Source organism: Homo sapiens, chromosome 20 (genome assembly GCF_000001405.40).
Source record: "Homo sapiens chromosome 20, GRCh38.p14 Primary Assembly".
Lineage (NCBI taxonomy): Eukaryota > Metazoa > Chordata > Mammalia > Primates > Hominidae > Homo > Homo sapiens.
In genome coordinates, this window is record NC_000020.11 from 20,639,427 (window position 1) to 20,667,350 (window position 27,924).

General features: G+C 38.7%; 1 protein-coding gene and 1 pseudogene across 18 annotated transcripts in view, besides 1 other annotated feature; one reads left to right on the plus strand and one right to left on the minus strand.

Moving 5' to 3' along the window:
• The window catches only part of RALGAPA2 (Ral GTPase activating protein catalytic subunit alpha 2), a 323,115-nt gene that overhangs the window by 249,897 nt on the left and 45,294 nt on the right, over window positions 1-27,924 (minus strand). For all 18 annotated transcript variants that reach the window (XR_007067471.1, XR_937111.3, XR_007067470.1 and 15 more), the window contains 4 exons: window positions 14,104-14,161; window positions 4,080-4,123; window positions 1,275-1,452; window positions 359-474 (listed from right to left, as the gene is read on the minus strand). Coding sequence is in view for 10 of the 18 variants with exons in the window: in XM_005260768.3 (XP_005260825.1) it covers window positions 359-474; window positions 1,275-1,452; window positions 4,080-4,123; window positions 14,104-14,161 (396 nt within the window). In the remaining 8 variants the exon portion in view is untranslated. The remainder of the gene's footprint in view (window positions 1-358; window positions 475-1,274; window positions 1,453-4,079; window positions 4,124-14,103; window positions 14,162-27,924) is intronic.
• On the plus strand, window positions 20,262-20,538 carry EIF4E2P1 (eukaryotic translation initiation factor 4E family member 2 pseudogene 1; annotated as a pseudogene).
• Window positions 25,577-25,636: a silencer, noted in NCBI's record as "silent region_12711". NCBI's record gives its function as "represses an Ori minimal core promoter by ATAC-STARR-seq in GM12878 lymphoblastoid cells {active_cell/tissue: GM12878}" and the evidence as "EXISTENCE:reporter gene assay evidence [ECO:0000049][PMID:35858748]".

A 27,924-nucleotide genomic window follows, 5' to 3' on the forward strand; every position in this document is an offset into this window, starting at 1 on the left:
TTGCTCCATGTGCTTCCCTTCAGATCCCCTGGTCTGCTCTGCCTATTCCTGTCCACCTGTTCAGCCTCTGGGCCCGCCTCCTCCTTCAACCTGTCTTGCAAGCATAGAGATTAGGGGTAGGAAAGGAGTAAAGAGAGAAAAATGGTTTAAACACACTCACAAAATAGTACATACAGCTGGTCTTGCTGAAGTGACCTAAAAAATGGTACACACTCTGCATTTGCTGAAATATCACATAAAATCACCTCAAAGAAAAAGAAAGAGGAAAAATATAGATACACAGAGGGAAAAGAGGCAATATTTCCTCTTCCTGCTGAGAATAAACCCATCACTGAAATAGTCATAATTTTTCTCTGACCTGAATAACCATATACTTCAACAGTATTTGAAGAAAAAAGCAGGTTTGGTCCTCAGCAATCTTCTCCCCTGATATGGCTGGTAGGAGTGGAGTGATTTCTTCTGGATATATCTTTACTGAAAGGACAGAAAATGATGACAGCTCATTCACCAAAGTTAAATTTTAAACAGAATTTAGGGTTTTAAAAATGGTCTCTATTAAAATACATCTCTCCATCCACTGAAGCAGCTCACACTGAGGAGCACACTCCAAGGCAGTGTGCATAAAGGGCCTGGAAACACAGCCCAGATGCCCACGAAGCGCCTTCTCCTGCTGCACCATTCTTTCCCGTTCAAATTCTGCTTTGGTCAGCCCAAGATCAAATGCCAGTCATTAAGCAATAACGCAATATACAGTAATAAATCAATGGTCCTAACAGGCAAGTTCCTTGAAAACTCACAGGACACAAATGACCACCGTTAATAGTCCCATGAGGCCACTATTGTCCTTCCATAGATGATGCAGGAAAATACAGTGGCAAAATAAGATCCTGGTGAGCAGATGAATGTCCACTTACGAACAACAGTGATAAGAACAATAAAAACAATAGCTTTGGATGGTGGAGTTTAATCTCATTAACAGCCAGAAAACCAGTCCAGACTTCCCATGTGTCTCTACTTCGTGCTACTGCCAACATCTGTCCCCTCCTATTCCTGCTTCCATCACTTCAGTACATTTCTCCTGTTTTCATTTCATATAAAATAAGCTCCAAGTCTTTTGATTCTAAGGTATGTAAGAATCTACAGTGAATATGAAAGGGGAATAATTCCTCTTCAGACTCCATCAGGATTTCTATTCAAGAAAATGAAAAAGTAAGAATTCCTCAATGTAAGTTCAAGAGTAATTTCAACATGGGAGATCTGCTAACATAACTTACCATCAGCTACACTAGGGCTGGGATTGATGAGTGTCTCCAGTGTGCAAGGGCCCCTGGATGACATGACTGCTGGGAAACCAGGCACCAGGCAAGCAAAAATCAGAACCTGCTCTTCTGCACAGTTTGTCTGAAGTGCTTGAAGCCACAGAAGAAACAGCCTGATTCCTTCACATCTTATCTAAAACAAAATTAAAAACAATGAAAATGAAACACATGTATTTACAGAAATGCATTACAATGTAGCATCGGTCTTGAGAAAGAAAAACTACAAGTTAAAGGTGTGTTAAGTAGTAAACCAAATTCTTCACTTAGTGACAAATAAGCAAAGATGCTGCAATACAGCACAAGAGTTAAGAGCCTGGGTTCTGGAGCCAAAGTGCCTGGGTTCAAATGTAAGCGCTGCCACTTTCTAGCTGGGACCCATGGAGAACCACTTAACTTCTCCATGCCTTAGTCTCCCCATCTGTAAAATAAGGATGATAAGACATTTACCACAAAAGACTATGATAAAGACTGAGTTAACATATGTAAACCAAATAACACAATGGCTAACTCCCAGTAAGCACTATGTAAGTGTTTCCTGTTAATAGTATCTTATTCTGTAAGGCAACAGTACCCACGGCCTCAATTATCCATAAAAACAATGACAAAGATAATCTCCCTCCAAATTTACATGTGCTATCACTATAATATGCCATGTTGATAATGTTCTTGAGAATCAGAAGATATGGAGCTAAATAACCTCAATGAGACAGAGCAGCTCTTCTTATACCTTATGTCCCTATTCTATTTCTCCAACACCTTTGCCATGCTCTGAATTGCCAGCATCACGCTGTAGGAGACATCTACATAGGGAGATGTGTCCTTTTTCTTTCTTTACACTTCAAATTTATCCCATTCCTAGAATTCAAAAGCACATGTCCCTCCATTTCTGTATTCCTAAATAACTGAAAAGATTATGTCAATAAAAAAAAAAAAGCAAAAGAGGTTGAAAAAATGTCACATGCAGCTGAAAGATGTAGTGAGCTCCAAATGCCAGCAACTGGAGTGACTGCCTCATCTCCTTTCAATTAATTCAAGGTGGTGCTGACTCCACCAGAGCAAGAATATTGCAAGTCAAACACAAAGCTTTGCCAGAAAACCAAACCAAAAAGTGGAGAAAAGCCTAAATAAATAAATAAAAATATTCTGCTTTCTCCCAATAGAAGCCAAAATACACTAGGACAGACACCCCAGCTGGTGACAGTACTGCCCCATTAACGGGGTAAATTCACAGTGTACTTCCAAACACAGTCCTGGACTCCACCACTGTTCTGCACAAACCTCCATGCCCACTCACACCTGTCCTCCTCTCCCAAGCAGGTAAAATGAGTGGTAACATTACTATTCAGCCATCAGACCGAGAGGGGAGGGGAGGGGAGGGGAGGGGAGGGGAGGGGAGAGAAGGGGAGGGGAGGGGAGGGGAGGGGAGGGGAGGGAAGAGAAGGCTCTATGTATATCTTTTTTCTTTTTTTGAGGCAGGGGTCGGGGGATGGAGTTTCACTCTGTTGCCCAGGCTGGAGTGCAGTGGCATGATCTCAGCTCACTGCAACCTCTGCCTCCCAGGTGGAAGCAATTCTCCTGCCTCAGCCTCCCGAGTAGCTGAGACTATAGGCGTATGCCACCATGCCCGGCTAATTTTTGTATTTTTAGTAGAGACGGGGTTTCACCATGTTGGCCAGGCTGGTCTCGAACTCCTGACCTCAGGCAATTTGCCTGCCTCGGCCTCCCAAAGTGCTGGGGTTACAGGCATGAGCCACTGTGCCTGGCCAGCTCTATGTATATCTAATCAAATTATATTTAATTGAACAAGAGGGAAGTTTCTATGAAATTCTACCACAAGTCTCCAATTGTTATATGTTAACTGTATTTAAGAGAACTAAATATAAATAAGGGTAGTTATAAACATGAGATTAACAACCTGATAGGTTTTAACTACAAGCCTATTTCCTTAAAATAAGAGGGACAAAATATAGAATCTACAGTGACGCTAGGAATAACTCACTTCGTTTTTTTTCAACATGTAAGAAATAGTTAACATATCAAGTTTTCAGAGGCTGTGATTGTTTAAGCCAATGTAAACCAACCAATATATTAGCTTATTAAAGGCATTCGCACAACTTAATTAACTCCAAGTGAATTACCTTTCATAAAATATTCATCCCAGGCTGAATTTTTTCTGCCATTTATGTTTTAGGGTAATCTTATCTCAGCATCAAGAAGTATATGTTATAATAAAAGACATATCCATTTCAAAATAAACCAATTTTAACCTATAAATCTGCCACAAATAAATATTCAAGAGTGAGACCCTGTTGTTCTTTTCTCCCACAATGGCTCTCACAATTAGTAAAATTAATTAGAGACAACTATAATTTTAACAACCAGGTTACCAAGATGGACAGAATCAAGCATGTGAGCTCTGAAGCTTAGAGGGCGACTGCACTTCCTTTTTCTGATGATAAAACTGGAGCAGTCAGTGCCTTGCCCATGGTCCCTACCCATACCCAGCAGAATCAGAATTAGAACTCAGAACTCTAAACTCTGAAGCCCAACCCATTTTCTCCTAATACTATTTAAAATGTCTCTCGCAATAAGTTATGATGTAAGAACAAAACCCTAACAATATAATTTCTCAATTAAAAATTAAAACTAAGTCAAGTGGTTTCTAAAGATCTTTTTTCCAAAATGCCCTAACATTGTTACTTTGTGGCATTAACAAATTTAAGAGTAATAAAAAATGTCATTACACAATAAAATAAATACCTTAATAGAATTTCCAGTGTGTAGAAGCTTCTTTAAAGTTGAGCCTGAAAGTTTAAAATAATGAATTATAAATAGAGTATATAAATGCATATCAAAGATCTATTTTAAGAAAATATGTACTTATGACAAAAATATACTTTTTAAAAATAAAAGGAAGAAGGCTGACCTTCAGAAGCAAAGCAATGTCACAGAGGGAAAGACGTTTTCAAGATAAAAGTACCTTAAGTATGTATCTCTTCAGAATTCTTTTAAAACAGTCAAAATGACTGATATTAAGGTAAGCCAAATGCCCACAGTGGATTATGCGCATATATCTCTTGTCATGCATAAAATGGATGCTTTTTTTTTTAATCTCTAAAGGTAAAAATAATGTAAAACAATTGCTCACAAAACATTTTTACAAGAACATTTTACAAATACTTAGAATGGCATGTTTCTCTCCTGGCAATGACAACCACATTTATGGGGTTTGGTCCATCAATAAATCCTCTAGCAGAGCGCTTTGGTCACTGTCAAGGAGGCAGAATCAAGGCTGACTCGGAACTCCAGTCAACTACAAAAACTGGTGCTGCAGCCCACTAGAATGAGAAAAGCTTCTCTTAGGAGGATAGAACACTATTACTAAGTCTTCTATAAATGTATTCATGACCTCAGTATGGAGATGGCAACCCCACCTAAATATCTTATGTAGCCTCTAAAACGGGATCTTAACCTCAAAAAAGGAGATGATCTTTTAAAACAGAAATATACTGAAAATCTGAGGCAAGAGAACTTTCCTCTCAGTCAAATTTCAGATCCTTTAAGAAAAAAATTACTTAGATCCTCTGATGAAAAGTTTGTGATAGCTCTTTAACAACTGGATATCAAATAATATTTACTCCACCAATGAATTTCATAGAGCTCCTCTAACAAGAGAGCCAGTGTTTTGGCAACTGATACAAGCCACAGCTACATTGATAAATACATATATAATAACTAAATGCATACTCTTTAGAAATTCATTAGCCAGAAAAAAATCACTGGCAATCCGAAGGAACCTTTTAGAACGATTCTACTGTTCATAACAACTAACACTAGGGCTTGGAGGAAACTCATCATCATGACTCAGGCTAGGTTCTAGCACTTAAATAACTAATAGTTTGTGCTTGAGTGAATGAAGCGAAAGTGTCTCCCCTTCCCCAACTTCTCCCTTCACAAAACTGTATCCAGTAATTTTTGGTCTAGAGCCAACATTTACTAGGCTGGCTCTCTCTGTCACAGCTAAGGTTCAAGTGTCCATCTAGCCCACACCTTTCCTCAACCTGGGGCCTTGTTCTTTGTCCCCATGTTCATCCATTCTTGGAGAGTTTGTTCTAAGTCAGTTTAACATCTACTTCATTACACCTTATGGTGGCTGGCAGAGCCAACAGATACTAGACCTCCCAGGAGACCTAATGATAAAGTCTGCACAGACAGTTCTCTTTCCAGCCATCTGGCTAATCCATCATCTTGCAACATATTCTTGGAAATACTTTCTCCTGGTCATTGTGTGTGAGCATTGGTGCTTGTTAGTCCTTCCCCTTGTTAAGATGGGTCTGGCTTGTTTTTGGTGGTGGTGGTGCTTTTTTTTTTTTTTTTTTTTTTTTTTGAGACAGAGTCTTGCTCTGTCGCTCAGGCTGGAGTGCAGTGGTACGATCTCGGCTCACTGCAACCTCCACCTCCTGGGTTCTAGCAATTCTCCTGCCTCAGCCTCCTGAGTAGCTGGGATTATAGGTGCATACCACCACGCCAGGCTATTTTTTGTATTTTAGTAGAGATGGGGTTTCACCGTGTTAGCCAGGCTGATCTCAAACTCCTGAGCTCAGGCAATCCACCCGCCTCGGCCTCCCAAAGTGCTGGGATTACAGGTGTGAACCACCGTGCCCGGCCGTTAGTGTTGTTTTTTAAGTATTTGGACTACCTATAGATGCCTATAACCACTGTTCTCTACACACAGAGGAGAAAAATACATATAGAAAGGGCATTACATGCAGACATATAGAACACATGACCCATATTGGTCAATGGTCCCAAACTTTTTAAAATTTATCTGGCAATTTGTTACAGCAGCAACAGAAAACTAATACATATGTATTTGATCTAGTCTATTCTGTTGTAGTGAAAAACTCGTTTGTACATGGGAAGCAGTACAGCTTAGCAGTTATAAGTCAGATTCAGAAGCTAGACTGCTAGGGTTCAAATCTAGGTTCTGCATTTATTAACTGTAACCTAAGTTAGTAACTTCATCTCACTATGCCTGAGTTCTCTCATCTGTAAAATGAGGTGACAATAGTACTTATCAGACAACTGACAGTGAGATTTAAACGAGTTAATACATATAAATGCACAGAACAGTGCCGGGTATGTGGTAAGCACATTTTCCACACAGGACAGGGCATCAGCTATTCTCTAAGGAACTCTTTTTTAATAATAAAAAAAAAAAAAATTAGCAAGAAAAACATGTGCAGTGGAGGCACATAGCATGAGGACTGGTAATAAGTAGCTGAGAACCTTGCTTGGCCTCTGTAGGGCTTTTTTTTTTTCTTTTTGAGATGGGGTCTCACTCTGTAGCCTAAACTGGAGTGCAGTGGCGCGATCTCAGCTTACTGCAACCTCCGCCTCTAGGGCTCAAGTGATTCTTGTTCCCCAGCCTCCTGAGTAGCTAAGACTACAGGCATGCGCCACCATGCCTGGCTAATTTTTTGTATTTTAGTAGACATGGGGTTTCACCATATGGTGATCCGCCCACCTTGGCCTCCCAAAGTCCTGGGATTACAGGTGTGAGCCAATGCGCCCAGCCCTCTGTAGGTATTTTTTAAGGCCTTAAGTTCACAAAGATATTTCTACTTTAACATTATCAAGTCATTTCTCATTTTGTTTTAATTTTTAAGTTCCTCTATATATGTCATGCCTGTTTGGATTTTTAAACTTCTTATTCAAACTATAATTATACCCACCCCACCTCTTCTGTGCCTTGACCATGGGAATAACTGAAAGAATAAGTAAATAAGATCTAATTACTTGGGCTGATTCTATGAATTTCTAATTTCTATTGGCTAACTTTTACTACATTTTAACCATAAATATCCTTTGAATGTAAGTCTTACTACTTTTGAAGAGGCAGTAAAAACGTCAGGGCTGCAACTAGTGAGAGAAGAGTGTAGATTCTGAAAAAAATTTAAGGGATACTAAAAAACTCATTAATCAAGATAAATATTTTCATGCAATGGTTTTTAAAAATTGCATTTTAAAAAATGCAAAGAATCCATAATGAACAATATTAAATTTTTAATTACTAATGTTCCGCTGAACCATATAGGAACCAGAGGGAAAAGAAAAAGGGTATACTTCTGTATGTGTGTTTCTATGTACTTTTAATTTTTTTTTCTCGTGCAGAACATTAAAGTAGCTTAAAAATGTAAAATTGGATGTATTAAAACTCACAGCATTAGTTTAAATATTTTATTTATAACAAAGAATGTATTATAATATTACTTTCCTGGCTCTGAAGAAAGCAAATTCATCAATAATATTTTCAAAATCTATTTCTTTGCTTCTCATTTTAGATTGTAAGAATTGTCACATTTGACAATTTCTCTTTGAACAAGTAACAATCTTTTAAAGATCTTTTAATAATATTTTTAAGGCCAGGAGATCATACAGATATTTCTCACCTAAAACTTTAACATTATAAAATCTTTTCTTATTTAGTTTTAATTTTTTAAAACCTCCTTCTCAATATCACACTTCAAACCAAATTACACACAATGCAGTACACCATCAGCATCAAACAAGAAGCAAGAAAGAGAGAAACTCCCTCTGGGCTAATGGTATGCCAAGCCTGCTAGAAGAGGCCAGTGGAATACGAACAGAGAACTTCCTGGCACTACAAGATCCACACTAAGCATGAGGAACCAGCATTCCACTAAAAAATTTGAAATTAACATAAATTAGCTCAAAATGGATCAAAGACCTAAACTATAGAACTGCTATATGAAAACATAAAAGATCTTTGTGACTTTGGGTTAGGCAAACATGTGTTACACATGACATCAAAAGCACAATCCATAAAAGAAAAAACTGATTAACTGGATTTCTTAAAAATTAAAAACTTCAACTTTTCCAAAGACACTATTAAGGGAATGAAAAGACAAGCCAGAAATGGGGAGAAAATATTTCCAAGGCATCAATCTGAGATTTTTTTTAATGGGCAATAGATTTGAACTTCACCAAAGAAGACAAAGTAATGGCAAATAAGCACATAAAAAGATGCTTAAGATTATTATTATTAGTCAATGAGATACCACTATCACTAAAATAAAAAGACTGATCATAACAAATGTTGAAGAGAACGTGGAGTAACTGGAGCTCTTATGTTGCTGGTAGGAATATAAAATGGTACAACCACTTTGGAAAACAGTCTAGTAGTTAAACATACACTGTTACATGGTTCAGCCATTCCACTCCCAAGAGACAGGAAACCATATGTTCACACAAAGACGAGCATAAATGTTTATAGTAGCTTTACTTATAATAGCCCCAGATGCTAGAAACAATCCAAATGACCATCAATACCTGAATAAATTATGGAATTATGACATGTCCACACAATGGAATACTGTACTACTCAGAAATTAGAAGGAATGAACTATTAATTCATGAAATAATATAAATAAACCCTAAAATAATTACGCCAAGTGAAAAAAGCCAAACAAAGAAGAGTACATACTTCATGATTCTACTTATGTAAGACTCTAGAAAACGCAAGCTAGTCTACAAGGGCCAGAAAAGCAGATCAGTGGTTGCCTAGGGACTGGGGGATGAGATGAGAAAAGATGGGAGAGCGGGATTACCAAGGGGGACGAGGAAACTTTCGGGGGTAGTACCTATGTTCATTATCTTGATGGTAGTAATGATTTCATATATGTATACCTATGTCAAAACTTATCAAAATGTGCATTTTAAATATATGTAATTTACTGTGTATAAATTGTTAACCACCCCCCATAAATATTTTTTTTTTAATATAAGAAAAAAAGATCAGGCGACCTGGAAGTGATTGGGTCAAAGATCAGGAGAATGGAGGATGTGGTCAAGACAGAGATCAGTGTCTGAAGCCATTGAGGCACAGAGGATTGCGGTGGGGGTTGATGGGTAACTTGGCATGAAGGAAAAGGGCTAGGAGAGAACAAAGCCATGGGGGATGGGGGGAAGGCAAGCGAGCAGGAGGTCAAAAGACATGGCAGCAACCAGGAGGTAGAAGATGGCATGTAAAAGGGACAGAGGTTTCCACAGAGGGAATGGTGGCTGATGTCTAGAATTGGCATGGGAGAAAAGAAAGACCATGATCTCACCCCCACTCCTGAGGGAGACAGAGGAGCTTCAGACAAAAGTCAGGTTTCAGATGGTCAGGGAGGTGAAAGAAAGAGGCTGAGGTTTCAGGGCTATTGTTTAACGCAAGAAGAGGACCCCCCCAGAGGGCAAAACACAAAGAAGTGCCTGGGAGGGGAAGAAGCACAGAGCAGTAACGGTAAAAGCACCCTGAGAGGGCATGGAAAAACACCAGGTGAGTTGGCCCCTAAGCTACCAGGGGCATTAGTTCCAGACATCTCCTGCTGAACATGGAGGCAGGTGGGGTCCCTGATTTCACCCAGCCTGGCTGTGATGCACTTCTGAGGGAGTCCTGTGTGAAGTGCACAGGGAAACCCTGCTCTCTCAGGAAGAGTGAGGTATGGTATGGTCTGAATGAGGGGAGCAGGGAAAGCTGCCAGACTCAGGCTCCCAAGGAAAAGTTAGGACCCAGTGGGGAGTAGGGACCTTGAGAAATGAGACTGGTCAGAGGCTATGTTCACATCCCAGGCAATGTGGGGCCACTGGTTAGTCCCAGGCCCAAAGCCTGGAATACACTTAAAAAGCAAAAAACAAATTTTCAGCTTAGTTAGGCCTTTGGTTTTTACATTATGTATATAAAAAACCTAGGTGAACAAACTAGATTTAATAATGACTCATAAAAAACATATGAGGTATTGCACATATGTGAATTTTCCAATAACTGAACCCCACCCCTTTAAACCTAGGGATTATTCATTTTTAACATTTTTTATATAAAACATCTCTAATACAAAATATATCCTTCTGCCTACCTGACAAATAATTATTGAGTTCGGGCACAGCACTGTACACTGAATGAGACAGGAAACTTGGTTTCTAGAGGCTCCAGAGCAGTAAGCCTTCTTAAAGTCAACACACATATAACTTAAGTCCTGTGTTGACGATGCGCAGCCTGCCCTTATACCAAATATCCCTGGTTTGCTGCCAGTGCGATTCTTTGCCATTGCCTCACTCTCTATCAGTTCTAATTATTGCCCAGAAATGAGATGTCAAGCAGTCACCTTTATCCACCATGATTTACTGGCCTAAAAAATGACTTCAGAAAAAATTTGATAAACAATTTTTTCTTTCGTAGTCAGTAATAGAAATTGACAAATAGTTGAGTTGTATATTAGTGTACAATGCAGAGCTCATGAGTATTGTGCCAACCACTCCCCTGGTCATCTTGCTGTACAAACATCACTTGAAGAAATACCTCCAGATGGAATAATGAACCCATGTTCATTTCACATTGCAAAACTTACGAGTTCAAATATGTTTCCTCATTCAACGATTTAAAGCAAGGAGCCAGCCATTAAAAACCAAAACAAAAACCGCAGATTATCCCTTCCCTTTAAAAGCAGTTTTAAGAGAAATAGAATGTCTCTGTTTTCTACAGACAAAATAAGATGACATGATAAGAAACAGACTTCAAGCACTGTGGTGGTTGATGTTTCAAACTATTTTCTTCCTTCTCAGGATAAAATGTGGCTTTCGAGACTCATAGAATACAGCAGTTGCCCTTATTTTAGGTTTCTCTGCTTAGAGACACTGTCATTTGCAGTGTGGGACAAGAAGCATACCGCATCAGTGGTGTATAACTACAACTTCAAGGTTTTAACCCAACATTTTAGAATACCCTGTCCCCCACCAGCTGCAGTAACATTTAATTAGTAAGACATTAGTATAGGAGTGTCCTCCCTAGTAGGTAAGGAATATTTGCTACCTAGAATATCAGACACTGGTTGGTGAGAAGGCCCCTCCTTGCCCAAGACTCAGAAGTTTTGTAAAAGTCAGGATGCCAATGCTGAGGACATATTTAAAGCATATTCCTTTCCTTTGATACCTGGTATTTCCCTATAGTTTCTAAGTTTCTACAACAACTCAGTCAAGACCCGGACTGACTAATGGTAACAGTTTTAAAAATCCAAATAAACTGGAAATAATTCAATAGGTACAGTGAGGTATATATGTATATAATTACAAATCCATAATCTCTTATGGACCATTTCAAAATCCAAAAGATTATAGGAAAACTGAAGTTCTTCTGTGTAAGTCATTAGTGGACAGAACCTAATCTGAATTCATATGCCTGCAACACCCGAATAAGGCTATCTTGTGTGTAGATATTCCACTAATGGTACATATTCTTATCTTAAGCTATAGAAATAATAACTTGCTTAGTTGGGGCCGGGAGGAGAAGGCGCTGCCCAGGCCACTGGAAGTGTTATGTTAAGATTGTCTTGATGTTCTAATTTATTTGCTTCATTGTACATCAACGCACCACATTGTCATTCTAAAATCTGAAAATGCCTGATTCCAAAGCACATCTAGTAAAGATCACTGTAGAAGCGATGTGGACCTGTGTCAACACCAATTTCCACCCAATATGATTATTATGCAAAAATATATTTGTCTGAAAAGAGCCTGTTTGACTTTAAGTATATAAGCATCAGTAATAAATGTGGATTATTTTACATGCAAATGCTCATATTTCAACATTCTGAAATATTATTCATTCTGACCACTTTACAGCACCAGCTTGTTCTGCACACCAGATAAACAACACATACTGCTATTAGATGGCTCAGGAAACTCAGTATTTGGCAATCTCAATTGAGGAGTCTGAGGCCTCCAGTCATTGTTCTTGCTAAGATGCTGCCAAACTGGGTAAAAAGCTACTTGTACCAGCAATTTTAACCAGTTTATGTGGTATTAGGCAGAATTAAAATAATACTACACACTGCCTACTAGACACATAGTTTCACAACACAAATGCAAATTAATTTTCACACATAGTCCTAATAAGTTTATTCATGCTGTGAAGAGCCTACTAATCTTCAGACATTCTAAAGTGCTATCTAAAGAAAATTAGCATAGTTTTCATACAAATGATATAAACAAAATTGAAGAAGGATTATATGTAGCACAGATAAAAAATACTGCATGCAGTTATTTCTCATTGTCAGCCATTCCTACGGTACCATGGAGCACCACAAATCCCCATGATGTCTCTTTGGATTATACCTTACATTTAAATTTTTATTTTTACTTTAATTTAAAAACACAAGCTGAAAGTCTCAATTAAGCAGAAATGCAATGGAGAACTCTCTAAAATTTAAAGGAAAACTTTCTTTGTGTATTTGAAATATTTAAAGATAAAGGCACTATCTTAAAGTAATGATTTACACATTTGGTTCAATTGACATATACACTTTTTTAAATTAAGAACATATAACTTCAAATAATTCAGTTTCTATAACAGTCAATTCAATTTTAATAATTGAATAATCCTAAATGAAATTTAGGATTTAGAATTTTGGAATATCCACTAATCATGTTGCATTCTTTCAGGTTCCACAACTTTGTACATATTGATCTCCCACCCAGAAAACCCTTTCCAAACTGCACCTGTTCATCTTTCAAGGCTCAGATCAAAGTTACCTCTCTTGAAGCCTTCCTCAATTCCTCTGAACAGAATTATTCAACTTTTCTTTTTTGTTATCATCATACTTCTTTCATAGAGACAATTTTGCTGTAATTATTTTTCTCATCTATCCCCTGACTGGGCAAAAGGCCTATACAATACAAGAATGGTGATATATTCTTAGTTTCTGTCCCAGAACTTTGCACACAAATGTCTCTCCCTCAACAAATATTTGAATGAATGAATGATCAAACAGAGTTAGATTCCATCATAAGGTCACACTCTCCACAAATACAATCATCTGGTAAGTAAGAAATCTTGTAGGACATGCTAGACTCTTGTACGGCAGGGGATTGAAGGAGACACTGTTTAAAACGGAAGGCAGAATTCACGATTGATTTCCCAGAATTACTCCAGCTGTGCTGTGTATATTCAAGTGGGATGAGATGTTAGAGGTTAAAAGCTGGACAGAAAAGGCAGCTGTGGTAATTTGCTTTATTTCAAGTTTCCTCTCAATGCCACATCCTAAAGCATTCAAAGAGAATAATTTTCAGTCAATGATACAGGCTTAAAGAACAAGAATTCTCTTGGCTGGGCACGGTGGCTTACACCTATAATCCCAGCACTTTGGGAAGCCAAGGCGGGTGGATCGCTTGAGGCCAGGAGTTCGAGACAGCCTGGCCAACATGGTGAAACCCCATCTCTACTAAAAATACAAAAAAAAAATTAGCCGGGCATGGTGGCGCATGCCTGTAATCCCAGCTACTCTGGAGGCTGAGGCAGGAGAATCACTTGAACTCGGGAGGCGGAGGTTGCAATGAGCCGAGATCACACCACTGCACTCCAGCCTAGGCGACAGAGCAAGACTCCATCTCAAAAAAAAAAAAAAAAAAAAAAAAAAAAAATACACACTACTGTGATTCAGGAGGTCTGGCTGGGACCTGAGATTCTGCATCTCTAACAAGCTTCTGGGTGAGGCTTATGCTGCTGGCCTATGAACTATACTCTAAGGAGCACACAGAGGAAGAGAGAGACATATTTGTCTCCAAAGTCAGGGTTGAACTTGTCTTGGTTTTCATTACCATAATACCATACCCTTATTAATATTCCTTTCTATAAGCTATCTTGATGATATCAATTATATAAAACATTACTGAAAATTCAACTGGAAGAAATTCATATTACTAAAAAATTTTTAATTGTTCTTACCTATACTCTGGTAATGCCATCGAAAGAAAATTCGTTCAGGTAGAAACTGCAGTATTTTCTATTAAAAAAAGATATAAAGAAAATAAACAACAAATGAAATTACACATTTTCATGACAGGCCCATATTACTCACTGTAGGTAAGTTCTAGAAGAGGAAAAGGAAACTATGTACAATAACATAAATACTGCACTTCATGCTGTATTCCTATGAGATAGTTTCTTTCACTTGCCCCAGGCAAGCTTTCTTACCTGAATGTTTTAAAGAGATCACTGTCCCAAGTTTAATTCCCTCCAAAAGAAAACAAGAAAAAACCTAAAATGTTATTTTTATCTTAATTAAATAATAGCCATTTCTTAAATATTAAAATAAAAATTTCCCAAATGACAGATTCCCCAGGTTTCTTCTTTTTCACCATCTCCTTCCCATTTTCATTATAATCACTATTAGTCTCTGGACAAAGAACAGGATTGGGAAGAAAAGTGAAAACAAAGAGAATGAGACTGTAAACAACTCAGTGAGACAAGAAAATGAAATTGGTGGCAAGAATTTCATGAAATTAATGGCCAAAAAAACTAATAAGTTTTAGAATTATAGTTAAGAATATCCCCAAACTTTTACAAATTTGACTTTTGTAGATTCCATATATATGAGATCATGTAGTATCTTTTTTTTCTTTGAGACAAAGTCTCACTCTGTCGCCCAGGCTGGTGTGCACTGGCGTGATTTCAGCTCACTGCAACCTCTGCCTCCACGGTTCAAGTGATTCTCCTGCCTGAGTCTCCCAAGTAGCTGGGATTACAGGTGCTTGCCATTACACTCGGCTAATATTTGTATTTTTAATAGAGATGGGGGTTTCACCATGTTGGCCAGGCTGGTCTCGAACTCCTGACCTCAGGTGATTCACCCACCTCAGCCTCCCAAAGTGCTTGGATTACAGGCGTGGGCCACCACGTCCAGCCCCATGCAGTATCTTTCTGTGCCTGGCTTATTTCACTTGGCAACAATGTCCTCCAGGTTCAACCATGTTGTCACAAATCACAGCATTTCCTTTTATAAGGCTGAATAGTATTTCACTGTGTATTCATACCACATTTTCTATATCCATTCATTCACTGATGGACACTTAGGTTGTTTCCATATCTCAACTACAGTGAATAATGCTGCAATAAACATGGGAGTGCAGATATCTCTTCTGCATACTGATTTTAATTCCTTGGGACATAAAGCCAGAAGTGGGATTGCTGGGGCATATGGTAATTTTATTTCTAGTTTTTTTGAGGAACTTCCATATTATTCTCCATAACGGCTGCACTAATTTACACTCCCACCAACAGTATACCAGCATTTCCTTTTCTCTACATCCTCACCAACACTTGTTACCTGTCATCTTTTTGATAATAGTAATTCTAACAGGTGTGAGATGACATCTCATTGTGATCTTAATTTGCATTTTCCTGATGATTAGTGATGTCAAACGTTTTTTCATAAACTTGTTGGCCAAATGTATCTATGTATTCTTTTGAGAAAGTCTATTCAAGTCACCTTATCTTTCAAGCCCATAACTCTCAAAGGTATCTCATATCTAATGTTACTACACGATAATTCTGACAAACACTCAAACACACCCACATGCATTCCAAATCCCATTTAGTGAAAAATACCTACACACCAGACAACAGACTTCACTCTTGAAAAATAAAATAAATATAAATAAAATATGTAATCCTTCCAAGATTTCATGAATAGTGGGCAAGAGAGATGATAAAGAAAAGAATATCAGTTAGCAAAAAAAAATTTTTTAAATAAAAAAAAAAACCTTGACAGACGTTTGCACGAAATATTACAGACGTAAGGGGGAAAGAGCTTCACCTCAGCAGGGGCTTCATGGAATGCTTCCTGGAAATGAGGACACTTGAGCTGAGACTTAGAAGATGAATTAAATTCGCCTAGTGGATAGGGACAGAAGGAATGCCATGGGAGAATGTTAGAAGGCCAACACAGCTTGGTGCCTTACAGGAACCACAGCAGCAGGAGGGTCAGTTTGGCTGGTAGGCAGTGAGAAGGGGAGGAGATGGGCCTGGAGAGGCAGGCGAGGCTGGGGGCTTAATGTCCTCATGGGAGCAGTGTGGTCCCTGAATGGGTTCCAGCTGGAGGTGAACTGGAGGCAGCTGAGAGGGGAGGTAGACACAGTCACTAAAGAGAGGCAATGGTAGCATTTCAGAGGAGAAATAAGAAGGCCTGGATCAAGGCCGGCCAGGTAAAGAGAACATATAATAGTGATATGCAGGAGATAAAATTGTCAGGATAAGTGGGTAGAGGGGCTGTAGTAAATGGAGGTCTCCATGGCTCCCAGTGGCTTTGTAGATGGCAACACCTTTATCCAAGAGATCAAATCCAGATGCAATCTTAGACCCGAGGAGAATAAGCTGTCAAGTTTGATTCTGGACATCCTGCCATTTGAGGTGTCAAGGGATGACCTTACTGGAAATGTTCTTCTAGGCAAATGTGTAAATGGGTCTGGAGTACAGAGGCAGGATTTGGACGGTAACAGATATGGGCAGCAGCTGAAGCTGTGTGTACATGAGAGCTCTCTTTTGAGAGAGTTTAAAATACGACAAGATGAAGCTCTGGAGGTATCCGTGAGCTGAGGGAGCTCTGCTAAGAAGGTAAAATGAAGGTAAAGCAAAAGCCAGAGGCTAATGTGCTCGAATCCAAGGAGAAATCTTTGATATGCCAGCTATTTGTATGCTTACTTATTATAAAGATTAGAAACATTTACGAGTATTTATATGCACAACTAGTTCTAAAAAGTTAAACATATTAGAAAATGTGGGGAAATTGATGTCACATAACAGAATGACTTCAATATTAAATAAAGTGAGCTCAATATTAATCTCTTGCCTTGAGAACACACAACCTTTGTAAGCCAGACACCAAATGCCAGGCATGACAGATCCATCTATAAATTGTACAGAAGTAAACTGGCTGTTTCAAGGGAAAAAAAATCAAAATAAGTCTTCCCCTTGCAATATGCTCTAACATTAATTTTAGATGGATAACACAAAAAAGGAGCTAAATATAAAAACTGGGTTGTTATGTTATGTCAAGTTACATTACATTAAAAGGGAATCAGAATAAGTAAAACAGCTCTCTACAGAATATCTTAATAAGAACCCACGTGAGCATTGTCTTACCAACAGAACCTAAACTCAAACATCCCCATGGGCACATAGGATCAAGAACCCAAGCTGGTTTACAACCTACAGGAAAAAATCACAAGCAAAGAGATTAGAACAAGAAATGCAAAGACTCTGGAACTGAGAATAAGAATGAGGGTCTCAGGAGTTAGGCTGCCAGGCCAAATGAGCAACTCTAGGGCCACAAACACAATCTGGAGATGGCCTGGGGATCACCAGATGCGAGAGATGAAGACAAGCCTGCACCTGCATCTAAGTTAGATCCTCTGGTTCTTTAACTCAAACTTTCTCTTAACAGAAAAATTTACTATAGACCCCAATTTGGTATCTTTGATAAAAAATTAATGATAATAGCAAGGTGAGTTTTCTGGAAAACATGCTGCAATGGAGGAGATAGGAGTACAAATGGCCTACTGAGGACTAACACCTGTGAAAGGGAAAAGACGGCAGCAAGATTAGACAGGGGAGCCTCAGACCACGAGGCAGAGCTGACAAATCTCTGCCAGCCTAGCGGAAGCTCCAGAGCAAAGATGAGAGGAGTCCAGTGTGACCAGAAATGGCGAGGCCCTTGTACTACTGCCTCTGGCAGTTACTGGCTTGGGGCCATGATGCAAAGAGTATGACCAAGGATGGAAAGCCGAAGGTGTGAAGAGCTGGAAACCATCAGCTAACGCCACTTTTGTAGCTGGGCAGCACATTCTTTCTTGAAGGGGAATATGTACAGTCCATCTCTATGTGTGCCACAATAATCTTCAAATTATTAATTAGAATATTCTCATCACATTGGAAAGCTGAAGTTCTAAGAGACGGGCCCCCTACTTGAGAGACATGGCTTCTCTACTGGCAGTTTCTCAACAGCTGGCTGCTACCTCACGTTGATGGAAACCTGGTCCCAGTGAGTTCTCCCCATGCTTTCTGTGCTTCCTTCCATGCAGTTCACAGTGCCTGGGCAAACGGCACAGCAGTAACTTGGTGTCCTATTATCTCACGCATTCTCCTTTAAGGGACCTGGCAGCCCAGCTACATCCCAGGATCATATTCTGATCCCATCTTGCCACTTAAACATTTCATATAGGAAATGCTGAGAAAAGTAAAGATTCAGAATAGATCTTAGATTAGATGAATGCTTGACATACCCACTGTTCTTCAGGTCTTTAATTTGGTCAGGAAACTAATTTGGCAGTGAAAATCATGCTTTTTAGTTTTCCAAAATACATATTGGTCTTCTTGATTTCATTTTCTTTTGTTAGCACACAACAAAGAAAAACACAGAATACAGCAAGACGATGTGTATCTACATGCTTAGATACTGTCAGTCTGCCACAAAAGTAATTTCCAGCTTATTCTGAGGTCAAGCCTATCATTATCACCACTTCTGGGTAAGTTTTCAGATTCACAAAATGGATGGACTTTAAAAACACTCAAAAAGGCTTGGATATGAAATGCATGCCCAGTATCTGAGCTACTAAGAATATTCCCAAATAGACAAAATCTTACACAACAAGTCAAAGGCTGAAACATTACCCACACTGATGCTTTTTGTACCCAAATATTGCAAGAGCCATTGTTTAAAGTCTATGAGGTCAATAAAAATAAAGCCCAACACAACTATCTATGTCCAAATGCTAAGCCTGTCCCTCAGAAAGCCCTAGATGAAGGCTACCTTTACTGGGACAAATACAATCTGGCATTTCTTCTACTGCAGCCAATATTCTAAGCTATACTGCTGTGAATGCCACATAAGCTACTGACATCTTGTTTGTAGTTTCACTGGAAAGTAAAATAAGAAAAAAAAATCAAGAAAGCCACACAGTGTGAATAAATATTACTTTTCTGAAAAACACACAGCTCTATTTAATGCTCAGTGCTCAGCTGCATCTATATGGTAATCCATTATAGTACACTCGAAATCGAAATTAGGTATTACTACTGATCAGCACATCAGGGAATCTGTCATTCTTTTAACTGATTATCCATAGTTCTTTTTTCTTCAGAACCTACTGCATGACCAGGAATAATGTGAAATGTAAGCTGGAGTCTACACAAGATGCTATAGTCTACTTTATAACTGCTGGTCTTCTGATTTGTGTGGGAAATATTTTTAAATTATTATCAGATGACTGCAACATGTCCCAGTGGATTCACACTTGATTTCAATTCCACTTAGAAAGCTAGGACAGTGAAGAATGAAGAAAATACTACATACTAACTCATGGGAAGGTAATCAACTACAATAATGACCAACTAACATGTTACATCTGAAAGCAGAGTGTGGGGAGCAACCCTTCCCCAAACTAGCTGCAGGACAGAAGAGCTCTGGGTAAAGAAAATGCTGACCGAGAAGAAAACAGATTTGGTTTAAAAGAACAGAGGTCTTAGTTACTTGACCTTTTGAATAATAAATATGCAGAAAACTTATGATGAGAACTGGACTGTTCGGTTTAAAGAAAACATTCTGTGAATGCCTGTGCTACAAGTATAGTCTGATTTCAGAGGGACCCACGTGCATAGCAGCCCAGCTGCATAGATGCTTCCAGGGAGACCCATAGAGAGGGCAACTTGATCATTTGCTGTCTTAGGCCTGGACACTCATCTCTTACTACAATGACTCAACTCTTTCATGAAGACAGAATATTTGCCTTGAACACTTTCTCATTAACATTATAACAAAATGTTATTTGAGGACCTGCTATACGTTTAAAGTTAAAAGAAAGTTATTCTAGAACTGAAAGTCCATCAGCCACATACCTCCCTTCTTCAATATATCCTACACAATTCATATTCCAGAAAATATACAGATTAATCAAAATAATCCGAAAACAAGGGTGTGGGGTTCTAAACACTGTGACAGTGAGCTATATTTACATAATTGGAGTTAATATGACTATAAAAAAGAGTATATTCCTAAAACAACTAACATAAGACAACATCCTAAAAATATTATAATAAAATAATCTGAATGGCAACAGCAGCAGCGAGAGGATGAACAAGTTATACACCTTGAAAGATGATGACACTGGGGACCATGCTCAGAATGAAGAAAACAGCACACAGAAAGATGGAGAGAAGGAAAAAACAGAACAAGACAAGAATCAGAGCAGCAGCAAGAGGAAAGCTATTGTCCCTGGACCAGCAGAGCATCCCCTACAGTACAACTACACTTTCTGGTATTCCAGGAGAACCCCTAGCCATCTCACCAGCTTACAGAGCTACAAAGAGAATATCAAACAGATTGGCTGGGTGCAGTGGCTCATGCCTGTAATCCTAGCACTTTGGGAGGCTGAGGTGGGCTGAATACTTTGAGGCCAGAAGTTCGAGACCAGCCTGGCCAACGTGGTGAAACCCAGTCTCTACTAAAAATACAAAAATTAGCCGGGGGCCGTGATGGCGCACACCTGTAATTTCAGCTACTCTCACTTAAGCCTGGGAGGCGGAGGTTGCGGTAAGCTGATATTGCACCACCGCACTCCAGCCTGGGCAACAGAGCAAGACTCTGTCTTGGAAAAAAAAAAAAAAAGACTATCAAACATATTGATACCTTTGCCTCTGTGAGTTCTCAATGATTTAATGGAGCCCTGACAGTTCACTCATGCCTGTATTTATATCGTGATGTTTATTTACCTTCCTGGTAACCTATTTAAAATTCTGGTTTCCTTAGCTGACTGACCTGTCTGAGAGATCAGATTTGTTCATTCTTAGGTTTCTCCCTAAACATTCCTAGTTAACATGTAGGTATCAACAAATATGAGAATTGCAGAGTTGATCGGAAGAGCATAATACAAAAGTACAGGCCTGTTTTTTTTTTTTATTTAAGTAGACATTTATGCAGTCCTTATTAAGCTCAAAGTGCCATGGAGAATACAAAAGCTTATAGTACCTGGCATCTAACCTCATGAAGTTTGACAGTAAAGTGAAAAGTAAAGCTTGAAAGTTTTGTATTTAAGAACCTCCCATTAAGGTTTTGGCTGTGTTCACGATCATGCATAAAATACTTTTTTCCTGTGTTCAGAAGGAAAATGAAATCCCTAATAATTGCTTTTGTGGGTACTGACAGTAGATAGAGCCTAGACTATGTCTCACCTCCCTCCCAGGTGACTTGGTTTGTGGGTACCCCAAGAATCTGTCTGCAACTAACACCAGTCTTGTTGAACAAAGGTTATTATGTACCTCCTGTGTGCTGTACAGTTGATCTTTAGGCAGAACCAAATGCAGGGTCTGTCATTTTCTTGAAATTATTGAGGTATTAGCCCTGTTTAAATGTGTAAAAAAGAAAAGAATACTCTAATAGGTAACATTACAATAAACTACTAAAGAGGGAAAAATAATATAAAATTAATAATAATCTGGGTATAAACTGCTTAAAATAGTTGAGAAGAAGTACAAAAGACATATGGAGTTAAAGTAAAAGTATAGGGCTATCATCGAATTTTGCTTTATTTATTTTTTTTTGAGACAGAGCCTCGCTCTGTTTCCCAGGCTGGAGAGCAATGGCGCAATCTTGGCTCACTGCAACCTCCACCACCCAGGCTCAAGTGATTCTTGTGCCTCAGCCTCCTGAGTAGCTGGGATTACAGGCGTGTGCCACCACATCCAGCTAATTTTTGTATCTTTTAGTAGAGACAGGGTTTCTCCATGTTGGTCAGGCTGGTCTTGAACTCTTGGCCTCAAGTAATCTGCCCACCTCGGCCTCCCAAAGTGCTGGGATTATAGGTGTGAGTCACTGTGCCTGGCTGAAATACTGCTTTGTTCTTGATATTAGAAGAAAAACAATGCAAATGATATTGTTAATTGAAAGATAGTTATTGGAATGAAAATAGAAAGTGCACCTTCCAAATTACAAAGCATATTCCATAAAGCCAAAATCAGTGACCTCTCCCCCAAAAACAAAGTTAGAAGAAAAGCTAAAACCAAGTGCAATGGGCATCAGAATACACAGATGTGTACTGGTTACCACACACAAAAAGTAGTAAGTATAAGCAGGTTAAATTCCCCTACCGAAGACCAAGTCCATCAGACCCAGCTTTCAAACACAGAAAGACTGACAATAAAATACAGAAAAGGAGGCTCACATGCACACACACCCACACAAAGCAATATTAATATCAAGTAAAAAAGTATTAACAGGACAAAGGGAATTATTTCAAATAGGTTAAATATGTAATTTACGATATACCTATAATACTTATGAATCTTTATGCAACAAATAACATAGCATGAAAATAAAACAATGGAGGCATACTCCATTAAAACAACTTTCAGAAACTAAAGGGGAAAAACACTTTTTAAATGGGGGATATTAACACACACTATCTTTGAGAAATAAAATAGGCAATACAGTATAATACGGAAGACTTGAATGTAGTTATAGCAAGACTGGTTTAACAGCTATATATCAAACTTCACAGAATCCAACATCTATGAAACATTTACAAAGTTATTATTCTAAGCGATGCAAATAAATCCCTCAAAGTAAGTGTTACACAGGTCACAAGCAAACTCAATACACTGGGAGTCCACCATCAAGAGTTTAAGCTAAAAAATTCTCAATTATTTGTGGATTTTAAACACTCAAGTTAAAAAAAAAAAGTAATTCTCAATTACTTGTGGATTTTAACACTCGAGTTAAAAAAACTGATTATATAAACGAAAAATAATCAACATTGTGATTCGCATATAACAAAAACTGGCCAAAGCTGAAATAAGAGACAAATCCATAGACTTGAATTTCCTACAATGCAAGAACTAAGTTTTAAACTCAAAAAATAGAAATAAAAAAGTTTTATTAAGGAAGAAATCAATAAAAATAAAAGCAAAAATGACTTACATAATGAAATTATCACCAAGTATTGTTAATCACTAAGCTACAGACAGTTGAACTGGTAGTACTGCAGGTAATTAAATATCCTCTTAATCAAACATTTATTTAATTCATTAAAAAATAGTCTTATTAAGTGCCCATTATGTGCGAGGTACCATGTGAGGGATCAGAGATACATAAAAGACACCATTCCTGCTCTAAAAGTTAGAGCCCTAAGAGGGAAAAGGTGAGAAAATCAGGGATGTCAGTACATGCACAAGGAAATGAAGACAGACAAGGTGCACTTCCAAAGGGAGAACACCCTTGAACTGAATCTTGAAGGACAACAGGGGTGAGCCAGGCAAGGAAGAGCATTTCAGGCAGACCAAACAGCAGCAAAAAATAAAAAGCCTTGCTGCTTATTTGGGGACCTGTAAGAGGCTGCCAGTGAGGGCAGAAGACAGGTGATAAGTGATAGAGAAGGAGGCAGACTAGACGAAGAACATTCTGAAGGCTATACTGGGGAGTGTGACTTTTGTCCTGAAGGCAATGAGAATCGAAATTACATCACACAGCATCTGAGGTGAGTGAGGGAGAGAGAAGGGGTAGAAGATTACAAACCAAAAGACTGCTTAGCAGGATACTCCACTGGTGGGGAAACTGAGGCTCTGAACAAAGTCTTAGGTAGTAGGCAGAAAAGAGATAAAAGAGCACCAGCACAAAATATACAGAGCCACAGAGTGAAGAAAAATACTACCAATACTGAACAAAATAAACAGTAGTCCTCCCTTATGCTAGGGAGATATGTTTCAAGACTCCCAAGGGATGCCTGAAACCACAGATAGTACCAAACCCTATATACACTGTGCACAAATTTCTTTTTCCTTCTTCACAATTTCATAGAAGATTCATTCTTACTGTAGATCTTAGCAACCTCAGCATATAGTTTTTTTCTTTCTTATTAAGTCAAGAACGCTCACCTTTTCACTTAAAGGAAGCACTGTACAGCTTCTCTTTGGCATATCTGATTGCCAGCATCACTACTCTTGTGTTTTGGAGCCATTATTATTATTACTATTATTTTTGAGACAGAGTCTCACTCTGTCACCCAGGCTGGAGCACAGTGGCGCGATCTCAGCTCACTACAATCTCTGCCTCCTGGGTTCAAGTGATTCTCAAGCCTCAGCCTCCTGAGTAGCTGGGATTACAGGAGCACACCACAACACCTAGCTAATTATTGTATTTTTAGTACAGACGAGGTTTCACCCTGTTGGCCAGGCTGGCCTCAAACTCCTGGCCTCAAGCAATCCACCTGCCTCAGCCTCCCAAAGTGCTGGGATTACAGGCATGAACCACCACGCCTGGCCTGGAGCCATTATTGAGTAAATTAAGAGTTACCTGAACACAAGCAATGTGATACCACAACAGTTTATCTGATAACCAGGACCACTGCTAAGTGACTGACAGTTAGCTAGCATCTACAGCATGGATCCACTGGACAAAAGAATGATTCATATCCCAGGCAGAATGGAGCAGGATGGTGAGAGATTTCACCACACTACTCAGAATGGCATGCAATTTAAAACTTATGAATGGTTTATTTCTTTAATTTTCCATTTAATGTTTTTGGACCCTGGTTGACCACGAGTAACCAAAACCTCAGAAGGTGAAACTGCAGATAAGGGGGACTACCGTATTAAGTAGTAAAATGTGATATTCAAAATGTTTTTTATTAGGTACAAAAAATGCAACCTTCAAAAACTGGAAAGGCAGCACTTAATAGATTTCAAGGTTATTTTTTCTCTTTGCTTAGGATCATGCAAAGGTCTAATCTCTTTTTAAAGAAAAAAATCACACTGCACCGGACTCCTCATTTTTTTAATGACGGAACGAACATTCAGTGACCTTCACAAATCCCCAAATTAGTAGCATATAATTCTACCCATAATATGTGGGTTTTGCCCCGAATAAAGCATTCACTAAAACAGATTCAAAAGGAGTCTTCTTCTCACAAAAGTATCTTACACAGGAGATCTCAGTCACAACCAAATCTGCCATGCTATTCTTCATTTCATGCAAGTTTCTATTTTCTGCCTGAAAACTACTGCATTTTTCCGATCTCTTCAGTTTTGGTACTAGCACTAGTTGGCCATCCGTTTTATGCCATGTTTTAGGGGAAAAAATCACTCCAAGACAGTTTCTATAGGAGTGATGAGTAGAGAATAACAAAACCCCAGTGAGATGCCACTACTTGGTTCCCACCACCCCATAAATTCAGAGGATTTAAACTCCTGCCTCAGCACAATTAGAAAGCATTGTACACCTGCAGGTTGTCTTGGGACTGGCCACCCTGTCAAATTCATTCAGCAAGTGCCCAAGGCCTGCAGGAAAAGCCAGTGCACAAAGGCTTCAAGCCAGACCCTTCCAACCTGTACAGTGTCACAAACCACATCAAACACTAGATGTCACTCTGTAACAGCCACCACACTACATATCCAAACAGAAAACAAGTAATAGACTTATAATAGCAAGTTTTTGTACAACTCTCTCCTAAAGGTATATATTAATTTAAAAAAAATCAACTTACCAAAACTGCATTAACAGATTAATTTTAATTAAAGAGAAAAAAGCTCTCTACATGTCTCCTGCTATCCTAACAATAAATAAACATGCTCAGGTTTCAGTGTGAATTTCCCATATCTTTAGCCCTAATGCAGTTTCTACCATCTGCCCTTAAAAGATTCTTGGAAGCATTTTTGCTAGTATTGCCTTCCACAGGATCTCCTCTTAAGAGTGTCAGTTACCAACACATCAAGTGGCACACTATGTGAAAGAGGCCAGCATGCCAGGAAGCTCAGGGCACCTGGACTGCAACAGATAACAACAAGAATGTAATTTCAGACTTCCACGAACATCTTATCTCCAGTGTCCCTTCCTCCAAGGTGAACTGAGTAATTTGGTATATCCCGTTGGGTCAATCCCAAGTTTCTCACCTATAAGTCTTGATGCAAAAGGGAGACTGCAGTCTTTAATACTAAATTTGCATATTAAACTATCCATTGAAACTGACTCCTTTCAACTCAAACATTTGTCTAATTAAAATTACTAACATTCTATAATAGGATAATCACATTTTAACCAGGAAAAGTGCATGCAAAGAATCTCCAAAATGGACCACATGTTTATATTTTGTTCCCACCTTCCGGTTTGTACAGATCATAGACATTTCACAATCAAAATCAGACACCAGAATAACCACATGCTATAGAGATAAAGGATCTCAGTCCTATGTTTTATTATTTCCCCAGTATCCAGTACAGGCGATAGCACCGAGGAGCAACTACAGAGCTAATTCACCACCACAGGCAACATATGAGACCAGTGAAAAAGGGTACCTTGGCCACCTGGCCCTCTACTGTGATCCCTGCAGAGCAGTCTCAAGGCAAGATCACACTATGCCATAACAATAATGTTATCATTTGGAGTTGTTCCCAACCAAGGGTTCAACATCAATAAAAGCCACAAGTATGGCTGGCATTACAAAGAAAGCCAGATGATTACACACCTCTATTATCATTTAAATATAGCCCCATGTCATAAATGTGACCCAAAATCTTAGTCATGCTAACTAGAGACATTCACTTTGCCAACTGGAACTCAGGGAGACTTTGGGGATGAGAGATGGGTGTCTTTGTCAGCTCAGTTCTTTTAAAAATGTTCTCCAGAAAATCTGAATTGATAGTGGCTTTTTCTCAATTGCAATCAGTCATTTAGAATTATGACAGTGACCAAAGAGCTGCATTCAAAATTGGAATCATTCTTTTAAAAGAAAACAAAATCTACTAAAGCATCTAAATATTTGAAATCCTCAATAAGAACTTAAATTCCAAGGATTTTAGAAGAATCTGCTTTTCTTGTTCATTTTAGTTGTTCTTGTCCCTCTTCCACTCAAAAACCGTGAAGTGGCCCTTACAGGAAACAAAATAAAAAGCAGTATCAGCCTGAGAGGTTTGTAGAGGAAGTCCTTCACCTCGGCATGGGAGGAGGGAGCAGCACGGAAGGATGGCTGCACACTGGACAGCCTGGAATAAGAAATAACAAAGCAGAGAAAAGCGCAGAAACTGTGGCAACTAGTTAATTGTAAAAATATGATTCTGCCACCTTGCTATGTATTATTTGCTTATAAGAAAAGCCATTAGCCATTGTATAAAGAAAGAAAAGGAATCGTTACTTAATCCTGTAGGACACCGAGCCTGAATCTGTTGACTTGCCTAGAATTCAGTTCAGGCATTTTCACTGAACCTCCACAGGAGCTTTTAATTTGTTTTCATTTTCAAAGAGTTACAAAAGATATGCAATTCTCACAAAAGAAGAGGAGGAGGCAGGGGTGGGGGGAGGAAAAGAGGAGGAGGAGAAGGAAAGGAAGAAGAAAGGAAATAAATCTCAGAATTGTTTGTAATCCTATTATATTCATAACTCTAGTTTTTCTTTAGGCAATTCACTATTAGTATCTGAAGTAAAATGGTGCTACTAAATGTGAAAAGTTATAAATGAATGCATTTGGATGGGAAATAAAATCAACATTCAAATTACTGGATTGCATATACAAAACAATGCTACAGAGAGTGAAAATCAGCCATTTGTTTCATCTTATTGGCACTGTACTGGATATAGCTATATTACTATTATCAGGAAAATCATTAAAAATTCTTTTCCCCTACTCTAAGGAAAAAAATTAGGGGCTAAATCCACTATCTATATAAGCTCACCTGGAGCAATGAAGAACAAGAGACCCAGTGCTGAATTCCATTAAAGTAAGACATAGA